Below are 15,612 nucleotides of genomic sequence, written 5' to 3'. Positions count from 1 at the left end.
GCGGCCGGAAGTCGGCGGTTTCCCAGACGACGAGGCAAGCGGAAGTCGTAGGGCTGTGGAGGACTGTGAGGAAGCGGGGGAAGGAAGTAAATCGCCGAGTGACCTAAGGAATCAGGGGGAGGATTAGGGTCTGCTCCACAGAAGGCTTACCTCTGAAAGAGTCGGGGAGGGAATGCGCAGCCACTCGCTGCCTTTATCCCGAGAAGCCCCTAACACCCCTCGCCGTGGTCTGTACATGGTCTGTACCTCCGGCCGCGCTGGCTGGTAGGCCAGCCACCTGGGATGGCAGCCTAGTTCTCCCGCCACCTTACCCTGCCCTGACTCTAATCTGCATTTAATTCAGTCCTTCTTCCGGGAGATTTCGGCGGAGAATTTCTTTCTCGCCTTAGGTACAAAACTCCCCGTTTCTTGGCTGTCACTATCGAACTGAGGTACTCACCTTATCAGCTTCCCACTCTTGTTTACTCCAGAGTTTGCAAACATGCTCCTGGTGGGCTGCATTTGAACGGCAGTCTTTTGATTGGAAATATTTAAAAGTTAGGAGATTTCACAAGAAATCGGCCATGGGATAAAGAGACGACAGTCGGCGTTTTCTGCAAGGCAGTGAAATAGATCTGAATAGCGGCTGCGACTGTAGATAACTTCCCTTCCTAACATACTTAAGGCGTTCTCCATTACCTGTCTGGCCCCCGGTGCGGTGAATTAAATGTTTAGTGTTTCTAAACTAGGAAAACGTGTGGGCTTTGGAATCAAACATGAGTTCTGAATTTGACTACTGCATGACCTAAGCCCGTCGTTTCTTTGAGCCTCATTTATTAAAGTGCCGGGAGCTGTGTGATGAACAAAACGGAGGATCCCTGCACCTGAGCACTGACATTAGCCCCAATTCATACTTTTAAGTCTCGCCCTTGTAATTTAGACATAAAATCTGCCTCTCCCAATTCATTAACTGGGAAAGCATTTAAGACAAGTTTCTCCAGGCCTCTAAGAGAGGGAGAACCCCACTGACAATTAGAGTTACATAGAAGAAACAAGTACGGTAATCTATCCAAATACAAGGGGAAAGGACAGCAATAGAATAACAGCTCTTCTAAGTATTTCAGTAACACTCTCTCTTTTAATCTTTATAACAATCCCATGAGACTGTTGGTCTCCCACTTTTTTCAGATAAATACTCTGCCTTTCATTTATTAAAAATAAAATTTTCCAGCTTGGCCAGCATGGTGAAACCCCGTCTCTACTAAAAATACAAAAAATTAGTCGGGCATGGTGGTGCCCGCCTGTAATCGCAGCTACTCGGGAGGCTGAGTCAGGAGAATCACTTGAACCCAAGCGGCAGAGGTTGCAGTGAGCCGAGATCGCATTTCTGTGCTCCAGCCTGGGCGATAGAGGGAGACTCCGTCTAAAAAACAAAAATTTGCTGGGCTCGGTGGCTCACGCCTGTAATCCCAGGACTTTGTGAGGCTGAGGTGGGCAGATCACCTGAGGTCAGGAGTTCAAGACCAGCCTGGCCAACATGGTGTAACCCTGTCTCTACTAAAAATACAAAAAATTATCCGGGCGTGGTGGCCGGCTCCTGTAATCCCAGCTACTAGGGAAGCTGAGGCAGGAGAATTGCTTGAATCCAGGAGGTGGAAGTTACAGTGAGCTGAGATCATCCCATTGCACTCCAGCCTGGGCAACAAGAGCAAAACTCTGTCTCAAAAAAATTTTTTTTCAGAGGCAGGGGTCTCACTATTGATGTCCAGACTGGACTTGAACTCCTAGGCTCAAGTAATCCTCCTGAGGCAGGAAAATAGGGTCTGGAGGTAGGGAACATAAGGCCAATTCACACTTCAGCTATAACAGGTAATATTCTGTCCATAGGGCATAGGCCATAAATGTCTTTGTAACTTTACTTCATCTTCTCTATTTACATAAGGCATACCCGAAGTAACCATGGAATCCTCTGGGGTTATTTAAACTCCCCAAAATTCTGTAACGGAGCCACTGAACTTCTAAGCTCAGGCCCGCTCCCACACTGGAGTGTACTTTCATGTTCAGTAAATTCCTTGTCCCTTCCTTGCTTTGTTTGTGCATTTTGTCCAATTCTTTTTTCAAGACACCAAGAACCTGGACACCCTCCACCTTTAACACTTCCACCTCATCCTCTCAAGTAGCTAGGATTACAGGCACCAGTCACCATGCCTGGTGCTAAATTCTCCACTTTTCAGAGATTAATTAAACACCTTGCCTAAGTGAGCCGAGATCGTGCCACTGCACTCCAGCCTGGGAGACAGAGCAAGACTGTCTCAAAAAAAAAAAAAAAGATATAAAGATGAAAAATTATTAATTTCTAATCCACAGTGCTTAGTTTTTTTGTTTTTGGGACAGGATCTCGCTCTGTTGCCCAGGCGGAAGTGCAGTGGGACAATCACGGCTCACTGCAGCCTCTACCTCCCAGGCTCAAGTGATCCTCCCACCTCAGCCTCCTGAGTAGCTGGGACTACAGCTTCATGCCACCACACCCAGCTAATTTTTGTATCTTTTGTAAAGATGGGGTTTCATCATGTTACCTAGGCTGGTCTCAAGCTCCTGAGCTCAAGCAATCCAGCCAACTTGGCCTCCCAAAGTGTGGAATTACAGGCGTGAGCCACCCCGCCCAACCCACAGCGCTTAGTTTCATGCAGTTTTTCAGTATTCCAGTCCTCTTCATGGGCGGGGTTACTACGCAACACTGGCAGTCTAGGAAGAAATCATTCCAAAGGATCAAAAAAAAAAAAAAAAAAGGAGGAATTGAAGCTAATATCTTCTGCCCTATTCTTTTTATCTTCTACCCTATTTTTTCTTTTAACACATATTCTTTTTGCCACTTTCAAAAGACTGATTCTCAATCTGACATGTCACTCCCTGTTCTCTTCAGTTACCCTTTAGTTCTGCTGATGTGGGGAATCCCCAACACTCCTCTACAGAGAATATACAACATCCAGAACAAAATTTTCCAAAGGCTTCTTCACTAAAGTGTAAGAAACTACTTTCATCTTTTCCTTCAAAGATGCAACAATTTATTTCAGGGACTAAATGTCCAAGTTCCCTTTAACCACCAGATCAAAAAACATTCTAGAAAAACTCCTCTATTATTTCCACCAAATGATAAAAAGTAGAAGCCATTACGTCTCCTTTTTCAGAGCAAAGAACTACAGACTCAGGCCTAGTCCATTTACATGACTGTCTGGGGGTGCCTGCTGCAGTCAGGAGGGCCAGGTGGCAGCTTGGTCAGCGGTGAATAGCGAATAGACTGCAGCATTCTCCTTATAAAGGATTTACTCCTCAATTCCAAACCTTTCCTCAAGGGATTAACAGAAAAGCCAGTAGATGGTGAAACTTAAGTGGGGAATGGATTACAAAGGCTAACTGGTATCTGTAGATGGCTATATGAACATGTAACTTGCAAATACAGAAGAATACATAGTTAAAGTGTTGTCTAGACATCTGGATGAAGTTTTCATTTTATTTTATTTTATCTTATTTTTAGACAGAGTCTCGCTCTATCACCCAGGCTGGAGTGCAGTGGTGCGATCTCAGCTCACTGCAACCTCCAGGTTCAAGTGATTCTCGTGCCTTGGCCTCCCAAGTAGCTGGGATTACAAGCGTCAGCCACCACACCTGGCTAATTGTTGTATTTTTAGTAGAGACAGGATTTCACCATGTTGGCCAGGCTGGTCTCAAACTCCTGACCTCAAGTGATCTGCCTGCCTTGGCCTCCCAAAATGCCAGGATTACAGGCATGAGCCACCATGCCTAGTGTGGATGAAGTTTTAATAAGGTATAATAATGTCCTTCATATCAGAGGTGTGGAAGAAAAGGAAGAGGATGGGGAAATGAGAGAAGAGCATCTTTTCTGGGGGATTTTTAAAATACATATTTCTACACAATAAAGATTTGTTTTTCAAATAAATAAATTACTCTATAGCACCCTTATATACTGTCAGTTCAATAAGTTGTTAACATCTTTTGGAAGGCATCTGGCATTATAAATCCTTAAAAATGTGCATACCCTTTGATCAGTTCTATTTCTGAAATTATATGCTAAGGAAGCAATCAAGAAAACAAAGATTTATAAGAAGAGTATTTACTACACATTTAGTTTGGATAATTAAAAATAATACTTTAAAACTGGAAAGAAAGCTGGGCCCAGTGACTCGCGTCTATAATCCCAAGGCCCAGTGACTTGCGTCTATAATCAAGGTAGTGCCACACTCCTGCCTGGGCAACAGCACGAAACTCTGTCTCAATAATAATAATAATTTTAAAGGAGTCCAAGTGCGGTGGCTCATGCCTGTAATCCCAGCACTTTGAGAGGCCAAGGTAGGCAGATGGATCCCTTCAGGTCCGGAGTTTGAGACCAGCCTGGCCAACCTGGCAAAACCTCATGTCTACTAAAAATACAAAAATTAGCAAGGTGTGGTGGCAGGCGCCTGTAATCCCAGCTACTCGGGAGGCTGAGGCAGGAGAATCACTTGAACCCGGGAGGTGGAGGTTGCAGTGAGATGAGATCGCGCCACCACTGCACTCCAGCCTGGGCGACAGAGCAAGACTTTGCCTCAAAAAAAAAAAAAAAAAAAAAATTTTGGTTCAAGGTAACACAGGAAAACAAGATTTTCTATTCACTGGGGAGAATGTTTTGCTTGGAGAAAAAAGTTCACATTTATTTAGCTTATATGTTCCCTATGGATAATAAGGAGTCACTGAAGGTTTTAGGAAAGGAACAAATATCATAAAACCTAAGTTTTAATTATGTTTAGCTGTGCGGTTGTCTTGTGGGATCTAATACTCACTGAAAAAAGGGAGATGTGGCCACCTCCATGGATCCTGCCATGCCATGAGAGTTCTGACTCTACGCCTCCAAAGGAGGAAAACCAATACTGGATTTTCTGGAAAAGGAGCCTCTTATTTATTCTCCTGAGCTATAGAATTTATAAGGAACTATGTACTGGAAATTACACCTGAAGGCTAGTCACAGGGAAGAAGAAGTCTACACTTCTGCTTGGAGAGTACAGGGCCACGGAGACTACTGGTCCACACTCCCTGGCAACTTCTCCTTTTCAGAATAATGCTGTCTGTGTGGTTTAGGTGTATCTCCCACTGAGTATCAACAGCGGAAGCTAAGTACTATCTAAGTCACATAAACAAGGCAGTAACAAGTGAACCAGACAGGCATCCCCACCTCAGACAGTCCCTTAGCTATTCCCATCCTGTCAGTCCACAGTATGACTCAAGTTGTACATCCCTGTCTCTCACTATCTCAGGTCTCAGTCCTCAATACAGCACTTTTGTTTTTTTTTGAGACAGAATTTCACTCTGTCACCCAGGCTGGAGTGCACGATCTCACTGCAACCTCCACCACCTGAGTTCAGGCAATTCTCGTGCCTCAGGCTCAGCCTCCTGAGTAGCTGGAATTACAGGCATCTGCCACCACGGCCAGCTAATTTTTTGTATTTTTAGTAGAGACAGGTTTTTGCCATGTTTGCCTGGCTGGTCTTGAACTCCTGAGCTCAGGTGGTCTGCCCACCTCAGCCTCCCAAAGTGCTGGAATTACAGGCGTGAGCCAACGCACCCAGCCCTTCATCTTTATATCCTGTGTGGATCAGGGTATCTCCTTTTTTTTTGACCTCATTTATCATAGTGCATATCAGATTATATTTATTGATTGGTAAATACATAGATGAATTAGTACATGAAACAATAAATGATTATAATACACAGATATTAGATTGAAAAGTTATGAAAGATAATTTTTTAAAAATGTTCAGTTTATTCATGATCTCATTTTTCCTTCGAGTTTTAATAACAGAATTTTCTAAAAGGCATATATATATGCTGATGTGAGATATGTGTAGGATATCTGTTGAGATAAGAAGTCAGAATAGTTTTTGATCCATAAAACTTACTGTAGACAAGAACTTAAGTTTGTTATTTTTAAAGGTAAATCAGCTTCTAACTTCTTTATTTTGTTTAACCACTTTTCCTCTAGCTACTGAGGTCAAACCTGAAATAGGCTGTAGACTCCACCAGCTGGGTAAGAATGGGAAGAAGATCAGAAAACCTAAACTTTGGTTGATGGACTATTTTGCCCAGGCAAAAGCAGGGAATCTATGAGGAATATGAAGACATTCGTCGGGAGAACTCTGTTGGCACTTTCCACTGTTCCATGTAAGTAGGAAATGTTTGGACCAGCAGTTGGTTACCAGGATGCTTCTGGCGGGCTCTGGCAACAGCTCCTTCCACCCCTCACTTGCTTAACAGAGACCCTTTCTTGTGTTAGGGAACATCACTCTCAGATAAATGATGGTTTCTCGCATGCAGAAAGAGGTACTTTCTGCTTTGGTGCTTCTTACCAACATCCTATACTCTGAAATTTCTGAAGGTTTTTGGTACCAACAGGACAACCCTGTTGGACATTTTTTTTTATATTTTCCCAAAATGCAAGTGTTTTTTAAAAAGGTAGGCTCAAAATAGGCTACTCCCTATTCCTGTTCTCAGTGTGAGCGCTGGTCTGTTCATTTGGGCAGTTTCTCCCCATAACATTTATGGTATAATATTACATCTTGAGGAGGGGTATCTGGTGCATTTAAAATAATCCATAGTTAGTAAGAGAGAAGAGTTGCCTCTTAGGAATTTAACCTCTTGAGATTTTCATTCTACCCAAATCCTATCACAAAACCATCTGGCTAGTTTATAATTCTGGCTCATAACTACTTAATAACTATATCCTTCCTTCCTTCCTTCCCTTCCTTCTTTCCTCTTCCCCTCTCTGCATCTTTTTCTTCTTTCTTTCTCTCTCTCTCTTTTTTTTTTTTTTGAGACACAGTTTTGTGCTTGTTGCCCAGGCTGGAGTGCAATGGCAGAATCTCAGCTCACTGCAACCTCTGCCTCCTTGGTTCAAGCGATTCTCCTGCCTCAGCCTCCCTAGTAGCTGGGGCTACAGGAGTGTGCCACCATGCCCGGCTAATTTTTTGTATTTTTAGTAAAGATGAGGTTTCACCATGTTAACGAGGCTGCTCTCAAACTCCTGATTTTAGGTGATCTGCCCACCTCGAAAGTCCTAGGATTACAGGCGTGAGCCACTACGCCTGGCTGCCCTCTTTCTTTCCTTCTTTTTTTTTTCTTTTTTCTTTTCCCTCCTTCCTTCCTTCCTTTTCTTTTTCTTTCTTTTCTTTTCTATTTTTGAGACAAAGTCTCTTGCTCTGTCACCCAGGCTGAAATGCAGTGGCACAATCATGGCTCATTGTAGCCTCGAATTCCTAGGCTCAAACGATCCTCCTACCTCAGACTCCTGAGTAGCTGGGACTACAGGCATGCGCCACCATGCTCAGCTAATTTTTTATTTTTTGTAGAGATGGGGTTTTGCCATATTGCCCAGGCTGGTCTCAAACTCCAAGGCTTAAGTGATCCTCCTGCCTTGACCTCCCAAAGTGTTGGGATTACAGGCGCGAACCACTGCACCTGATCAGATTATTTCTCTCACCATGTTGCTCTAATTTCTCTATGTTTTAATTGGCTGCCCCCAGGAATCTCTTTTTCTCCAACTAGTGAGCTCCGTCTGTTGAAAATTATAGAAACTAGGGCTAGGCGTAGTGGCTCACGCCTCTAATTCCAGCACTTTGGGAGCACAAGGTAGGAGGATCACTTGTGTCCAGGAGTTTGAGACCAGCATGGGCAATATATCCAGACCCCATCTCTACAAACTTAAAATACAAAAAAATTAGCCAGGCATGGTGGCACACTCCTGCATTCCTAGCTACTTGGGAGGCTAAGGCAGGAGGATCACTTGAGCCCAGGACGTCAAGACCACAGTGAGTTTTGATCATGCCACCAAACTCCAGCCTGGGTGACAGAGTGAGAACCTGTCTAAAAAAAAAAGAAAAGAAAATTAGGGAAGCTGTTCTAGTGGATCCCAGGCTTATATTCCAACTTTACCAAAAATTCCCTCTGTGAGTGACACAAGTTATTTCCTTTCTCAGCACTTCAGTTTTCCTCTGTGTAATATGTGACTATTGGACTCTGATATTCACCAACCTTTGTAGCTTAAGTGTTTTAGAAATCCAGGATTCTATGAGTACCTCTTCCCTCTTGTAACTCCTGTCCAGTGCAGTCAGTGTGCTCTGAATAAGATGCAGGGATAGAGTCTTTTAGCAAAGCAAAGAGGGAAAATAATGAGTTGAGGAAAATAATGACACAGGGAAAGTCAGAGAGAAGAGGCACTTGAGAAAGAAGTCAATCAGAGCAAGAATGCAAAAGAAAATAAGAGGAGAAAAAGGGGACACAGACCATATATCAACAAGGAAAAGTATTCTTTTCTCCCATACAGCTCTGTTTCTTCCCTACCAGCTCCAGATCCCTATTTTTAATTTTTATTTACTTTTATATGTTCTATTTATTATTTTATTTTTTTTTAATTTTTAGAGATACAGTCTTGCCCTGTTGCCCAGGCTGGAGTGCAGTGGCATGATCATGGCTCACTGCAGCCTCAACTTCTGGATGCTCAATTGATCCTCTTGCCTCAGCCTCTTGAGTAGTTGAGATCACAGGCATGCATTACCATGCCTGGCTAATTTTTTCATTTTTTATAGATACAGAATCTCGCTATATTGCCCAGGCTGGTCTTGAACTCCTAGGTTCAAGTGATCCTCTTGCCTCAGCTTTCCAAGGTGCTGGGATTATAGGTGTTAGCCACCATGCCCACCTACCAGACCCCCTATTTACATGCAGTCTCTTTCCCAAACAGAACATTATTCCCTTGCAGTCTTGCTGTTGTTGCCCACCCAGGCTGGAGGGCAGTGGTGTGATCTCAGCTCACTGCAACCTCCGCCTCCGGGGTTCAAGCGATTCTCCTGCCTCAGCCTCTTGTGTAGCTCCTGAGTAGTGTGCCACCATGCCCGGCTAATTTTTGTATTTTTAGTAGAGATGGGCTTTCACCATGTTGCCCAGGCTGGTCTCAAACTCCTGGCCTCAAGTGATCTGCTTGCCTCGGCCTCCCAAAGTGCTGGGATTATAGGTGTGAGCCACCACCCCTGGCCTCTTCTTACTTTTTCTTATGAGATAATTGTAGATTCACCTGCAGTCATAAGAAATAATAGACAGATCACATATACCCTTTCTACAGTTATCCCATGGTAACATCTTCCAAAACTATTGTGTAATATCACAGCCAGAATGTTAACATTGATACAGTCCACCAATCTGATTTAGACTTCCCCACTTTTACTTCATTTGTGTGTATTTAGTTCTGTGCAGTTTTGTCACGCGTGTAGGTTTTCCTATCTGTCACCATAGTCAACATACGAAGAGTTCCATCACCATAAGCCTCCCTGTCATTACCCTTTAATAAACATATACCTCCTTCCCACCACCTCCCCATTCCTAACCCCTGCAGCCACTAATCTATTCTCCATTTCTATAATTTTGTCCTTTCCAAGTTGTTATATCAAATAACATTATATAAAACATGTAGGCTGGGCATGGTGGCTCACACCTGTAATCCCAGCACTTTGGCAGGCTAAGGCAGGCAGATCATGAGGTCAGGAGTTCGAGACCAGCCTGGCCAATATGGTGAAACCCCGTCTCTACTAAAAATACAAATATGAAAATTAGCCTGGCATGGTGGCATGTTCCTGTAATCCCAGCTACTTGGAAGGCTGAAGCAGGAGAATTGCTTTAACTGGGACCAGGGAGGCAGAGGTTTCAGTGAGCCAAGGTTGCACCACTGCACTCCAGCCTGGGCTACAGAGCAAGACTCCTTCTCAAAAAAAAAAAAAAACAAAGGATTTTCTCCTGCAGCTGTGGCCTAGGCATGGCGACTCTCGGCTTTGTGACTCCGGAGGCCCCCTTTGAATCATCGAAGCCCCCCATCTTTGAGGGGCTTAGCCCCACTGTTTACAGCAATCCAGAGGGTTTCAAGGAAAAGTTCCTTCGCAAGACCCGCGAGAATCCGGTGGTACCCATAGGTTTCCTGTGCACGGCGGCCGTCCTCACCAACGGCCTCTACTGCTTCCACCAGGGCAACAGCCAATGTTCACGGCTTATGATGCACACCCAGATCGCCGCCCAGGGCTTCACCATTGCAGCCATCTTGCTGGGTCTAGCTGCCACCGCTATGAAGTCTCCACCCTGAGCCCAGGGTCTTGAAAACTCTGCAGAAATCATTCCAAAACCCAGGAGCAACCACTGGCCCTACCATGGGACTTACTCTCTCCTCTCCTTTGAGAGGTCCCTGTGTCGTTGGGGGAGGAAGTGACCCTTCCTGTAACCATAACTGAAAGATTTTTTCAAAAATCCCAGATTCTGTTGTTTGAATGTTACATATTTCTATTTGTGCCACATCTTCCCTCCACTCCCCTGCTTAATAAACTCTAAAAATAAGAAAAAAGTAAAAAATTACACACATACTGTATGTAATCTTTTAGGATTGCTTTTATGAGCTAGGCATATTTGTATGGGAAGGGGGAATTTTTTTTTTCTTTTTTGAGATGGGCTGCACTTGTCGCCCAGGCTGGAGTGCAACTTCGGCCCTGTTGCCCAGGCCGAAGTGCAATGGCACAATGTCGGCTCACTGCAACCTCTGCCTCCCAGATTCAAGCAATTCTCCTGCCTCAGTCTCCCGAGTAGCTGGGATTACAGATACGCGCCATCACGCCCGGCTAATTTTTTGTATCTTTAGTAGAGACGGGGTTTCACCATGTTGGCCAGGATGATCTCAAACTCCTGACCTCGTGATTAGCCTGCCTTGGCCTCCCTAAGTGCTGGGATTACAGGCATGAGCCACCGCACCTGGCCAGGAAATTTTTTAAGATACGGAAAAGTACAGAGCATGATCTTGCAAACAACTATGTTCCTACCACAGAATCAACACTGACTGTTGTTAATATTTTGTTATATTTGCTTCATTTTTTTTTAAAAGGGAGACAAGGTCTCACTCTGTCACCCAGGCTGGAGTGCAGGTGCAGTGGCACTAGCATAGCTCACTGCAGCCTCGACATCCTGGGCTGACATGATTTTCTTGCCTTAGCCTCCCTAGTAGCTGGGACTAGAGGCACAGGCTACCATACATGGCTAATTGTTTTAAAGTTTTTGTAGAGATGGAGTCTTGCTCGGTGGCCCAGGCTGGTCTCAAATTCCTGAGCTCAAATGATCCTCCCACCTTAGCCAAAGCACTAGGGTTACAGGCATGAGCTACTGTGACTGGCTGTCTTTTTCATTATTATTATATAAAGGAAAGAATGTATTATAAAGTTGAAATCCCTTCTAATCCTCATCCTTACTTCTATTAGTCATAAGCAGCTACTAGTATGAATATGGTCTCCTTCCTTCCTTCCCTCTTTCTTTGTTTCTTTCTTTCTTTCTTTGTTTCTTTCTTTCTCTCTCTCTCTCTCTCCTTCCTTCCTTCCTTCTTTCCTTCCTTCCTTCCTTCCTTCCTTCCTTCCTTTCTTTCTTCCTTTTTCAGACAGAGTTTTGTTCTTGTCGCCCAGGCTGGAGTGCAATGGCACGATCTCAGCTCACTGCAGCCTCCACCTCCCAGGTTCAAGCTATTCTCCTGCCTCAGCCTCCCAAGTAGCTGGGATTACAGTCACTCACCACCATGCCCAGCTAATTTTTGTATTTTTAGTAGAGACGGGGTTTCACCATGTTGGCCAGGCTGGTCTCGAACTGCTGACCTCAGATGATCCACCCGCCTCGGCCTCCCAAAGTGCTGGGATTACAGGCAGGAGCCACTGCATCCTGCCTGTCTGTGGTATATTATGCTCTATACACTTTGATTTCTATTATTATTATTATTTTTGAGATGGAGTTTACTTTTATTGCCCAGGATGGAGTGCAATGGCATGATCTCGGCTCACTGCAACCTCCACCTCCTGAGTTCAAGCAATTCTCCTGCCTCAGCCTCCCAAGTAGATGGAATTACAGGCATGCGCCACCATGCCCGGCTAATTTTGCATTTTTAGTACACATAGGGTTTCTCCATGTTGGTCAGGCTGGTCTCAAACTCCCAACCTCAGGTGATCCACCCGCCTCAGCCTCCCAAAGTGCTGGGATTACAGGTGTGAGCCACCGCACCTGGCCTGATTTCTATTATTTCACATAATTTTTACAACAAATCTGTAAAACGAGGTTTCCATTTACAGATCAGGAAACTAAGAGCCTTGAAATGATTTTCTCAGTGGTAGGTGGTAGTGGTAGGTTAGAACTGGCAAACAAGCTTATGGTTTGATGTTTACCCACTAGCACTACCTCCTTCAAAGCTGATCACAAATCATGATAGTGAAAGAAGCTTTGAAACTACGGATCTCTAACTCCCTTTTATACGACTGGAAGGGACCTTAATTAAGACCCTTCTATTTACAGAGGAGGAAACTGAAGCCCAGAGATACCAAGAGTTGGCCCAGGTCACACCTTGGTGATTGTGGAAGGACTAAGAGAACAAGCCTGACTCTGACTCCCCGCCCTTTCTCCATCCCACCTCTTGCTGCCCCAGCCAGGAGCCTAGATCTCAGAATGCAGTCAGAAAAATCCCTCACTGAGAAATATTAAGACTAGAATGCTAAGAAGAAATGTTAACAGTTCCATAGAAAATGACAAAAAGCATGCATATATAATTTATGAAAAAAGAGAACAAAGTTTTTTTTGGAAAGTTTGACTTAACCATTGCCAAGTAAGAACTGCAAATTAAAGGAAAAACCATTTGAACTCAGTTGACAATGACTTTTTTAAAGCTAATACTCATTGTTTTGAGGTGTGGGCTTTGTTGCATGACTGAAAGACACTCTTGTAGCTGGTAGAAGTAAAACTATTACAGTCTTTCAAGAAAGCAGTTGAGTATTGTGTATTTAAGACCTTAAAAATATTTAAGGCTTTGATCTAACAATCTGAATTCTAGGGAAGTTTTCAAAGATAATCAGGCATGTGGCCAAAGAATGTTACATGCAACATTATTTATAATATTGAAAAATTGATCATCTTATTATGTCCCAAGTACAATGGTTTAATAAATCAGTGTAAATTTATATGATGTGACGTTATGCAGCTGTTAAAATCATAGCTTGGAATATTATTTGATAACCTGGGAAAAGGCTTATGATATATTAGGTGAAAAGGAGATTTCAAAACTAAATAATCTGATTTTAAAATTATTAGTAGTAGTGCACTGAGAAATGGGTTGGAAGGGAATCAGTTAGAGGCTATCAATCATTTCTGGATAGTCAGTCTTGGAACATGCCCTGCTCTTAATAAGGTGTGCACTTTTATTTGTTGCTCAAATAAGCAAATGAATAAATTGTGGGATGATGAATAATTTAAATTTTCTTCTCCATAGGTTTTGGAATTTCCCAAATTTTATGAGAATATTTTTATTATCATAAAAATTAACCAGGCAGGGTGCGGTGGCTCATGCCTGTAATCCTAGCACTTTGCGAGGCTGAGGTGGGTGGATTGCCTAAACTCAGGAGTTTGAGACCAGCCTGGGCCACACAGTCAAACCCCGTCTCTACTAAAATACAAAAAAAAATTAGCCGGGCGTGGCAGTGTACGCCTGTAGTCCCAGCTACTCGGGAGGCTGAGGCAGGAGAATTTCTTGAACCTGTGAGGCAGAGGTTGCAGTGAGCCAAGATTGCGTCACTGCACTCCAGCCTGGGCAACAGAGCAAGACTCCGTCTCAAAAAAAAAAAAAAAAATAGGCTGGGCACAGTGGCTCACGCCTGTAATCCCAGCACTTTGGGAGGCTGAGGCAGGTGGATCACCTGAGGTTGAGAGTTCAAGACCAGCCTGATCAACATGAAGAAACCCTATCTATTTAAAAAATACAAAATTAGCCAGGCGTGGTGGTGCATGCCTGTAATCCTAGCTACTCAGGAGGCTGAGGCATGAGAATCGCTTGAACCCAGGAGGCGGAGGTTGCAGTGAGCTGAGATCGCACCATTGTACTCCAGCCTGGGCAACAAGAGTCAAACTCCATCTCAAAAAAAAAAAAATTATGAAAACTTACAGCATGTTGACACTAACTGAACAAGATAGAAAAAAAACAACTAGTATTTTTTGTTCAATATCCTTCATTTTTACCACTTTCCAAAAGTTTAGAATACTGAAACTCAATGTTGCCTTATTTCTAAAGCTGCCAAACCTTTTGTCATTTCTGGACTTCAGTTCCCTCCTTTGTAAATAGAAGGAATTTAATTAAGGTCTCTTCTAGCCTTAAAAAGAGTAGTTATAAATTCATTCCTCCTCAGTGATCCTGGTTGATAGAATTCTTCCTTTATCAAAAGCCTCTGCTAAAGAGCACCCTCAAAGTTAAAGTCATTGTAAAAAACTCTCCCCGGTTTTGCAGAGACTTTTTTTGTTTTGCTGCATGACTTTCAGACAAGCACTAGACTTGTGTCATTTCCATATGAACAGACACATGTTTTCCGGAGGGCAGGCTGTAGTTAGGGCTGTGTCTCTGCTACTGTGTCTCTGCATAACCCAACGGGCTTGCATGAGAATAGGACTTTTCATCTCATTTCCATTGGTTTCATACATTAAGCAAGTCAATTCACATGTGCTACAGGTCACAGTGGGAACTCTCCATGTAAGGCTATAAGTGGTTCAGCTCAACCCATTTCTTATTTCTGAAAACAACTTGAAGCATGCAGCCTATGGCTGGAAGGCAATTGAGTTATATTTATAGAAGGGCAGCTTGATCTCTTTGCATGATATCCTGTCTTTAGAAAGTAAAAAATAAGTTGCTATGTGTCATCATCGCGTATAGGCAACTAGATGCAGAAATTTAAAAAGAACAGATCTCTTTACTGAGACCCAAATACATCCCTGACATCGCCCCTCCAAAGTGCACCACCTCCAGTGAGTCTCCCTGTCATGCCCAGCCAGTGGACAGCCAACCCCCACCATTCCTCCAGCACTCCCGTGGCCAATCATGGGGGTGCTGTGCTGGCAGCCTGTGACCTGACATCTCTACCAGTCTTCCAGTCCCTCGTATGTCAGGGAATGTGTCCTCTGCTGGCTGTGTTCTTTTTGGAACTCAGGGGAGGGAAAAGGCCAAGCCATTTCTAGGGTGCTGTTGGGAGCAGTGAAAAAGCCACACCCTTTTCAAGGGACACTTTTCCTGGAAAGCCCCTGGAGCTTAGCTGGCTGTTATCCTGTGAAGCCGGCTCTGGCCACTAGGGGCAGGGCCATGAACTCAGCCTCGAGGAGCCTGCAGGGCAGCTGGCACTCTGGAGGGACAGACAGAACAGGTCACCAGGTGCACTGGAGGGACAGACAGAACAGGCCACCCAGTGCAGACAGGAGAAGGAGGGAGGGGGACGGAATGGAAGACTCCTGGGGTGAATGGAAGTCAGTGCCCTTGGGTGCTAGTATCTGTCTTCCCGGCCACCGCTAGATCAGGCTTCTGAGCCTGTTGGCTGTCAGGGCTGGACTGTGCCCCATAGGCGCCATGGCAGTCCCAATGAAATCCACCAGGTGTCACTAGGCAGCATAAAGGTAACAGGCCTGGAAGGTCACCAACAGCCCAGCTGGACATGCTCAGACAACTCTGGGGCTCCTCATTCAGTGGCACAAACTCCAGGACCCAGTGAGGGAAAAAGG

The 15,612-nt window shown here is 44.2% G+C and overlaps 1 protein-coding gene across 7 annotated transcripts, besides 2 other annotated features; it reads left to right on the top strand.

Annotated features, from left to right (window-relative positions):
- Positions 25-10,409, top strand: HIGD2B (HIG1 hypoxia inducible domain family member 2B). 7 transcript variants are annotated; one of them, XM_024449841.2, is made up of 4 exons: positions 25-86; positions 2,903-3,002; positions 6,014-6,192; positions 9,820-10,409. In XM_024449841.2, exon 4 carries the CDS (start codon positions 9,833-9,835, stop codon positions 10,151-10,153), a length of 321 nt encoding a protein of 106 aa, XP_024305609.1. In that variant the 5' UTR covers positions 25-86; positions 2,903-3,002; positions 6,014-6,192; positions 9,820-9,832; the 3' UTR covers positions 10,154-10,409. The 7 variants fall into 7 exon arrangements, with proteins under 7 accessions (XP_024305609.1, XP_024305608.1, XP_024305607.1 ...); XM_024449840.2 differs by having other exon boundaries at positions 25-238; XM_024449839.2 differs by having other exon boundaries at positions 25-389.
- Positions 14,472-15,449: an enhancer, noted in NCBI's record as "H3K27ac-H3K4me1 hESC enhancer chr15:72963099-72964076 (GRCh37/hg19 assembly coordinates)". NCBI's record gives its function as "activates a minimal SCP1, AML or CMV promoter by ChIP-STARR-seq in naive H9 embryonic stem cells {active_cell/tissue: H9 hESC(naive)}" and the evidence as "EXISTENCE:reporter gene assay evidence [ECO:0000049][PMID:30033119]".
- Positions 15,044-15,093: an enhancer, noted in NCBI's record as "active region_9727". NCBI's record gives its function as "activates an Ori minimal core promoter by ATAC-STARR-seq in GM12878 lymphoblastoid cells {active_cell/tissue: GM12878}" and the evidence as "EXISTENCE:reporter gene assay evidence [ECO:0000049][PMID:35858748]".

Source organism: Homo sapiens, chromosome 15 (genome assembly GCF_000001405.40).
Source record: "Homo sapiens chromosome 15, GRCh38.p14 Primary Assembly".
Lineage (NCBI taxonomy): Eukaryota > Metazoa > Chordata > Mammalia > Primates > Hominidae > Homo > Homo sapiens.
The sequence above is the reverse complement of the archived record's forward strand: the minus strand, read 5'-3'. Positions and strand labels throughout refer to the sequence as shown.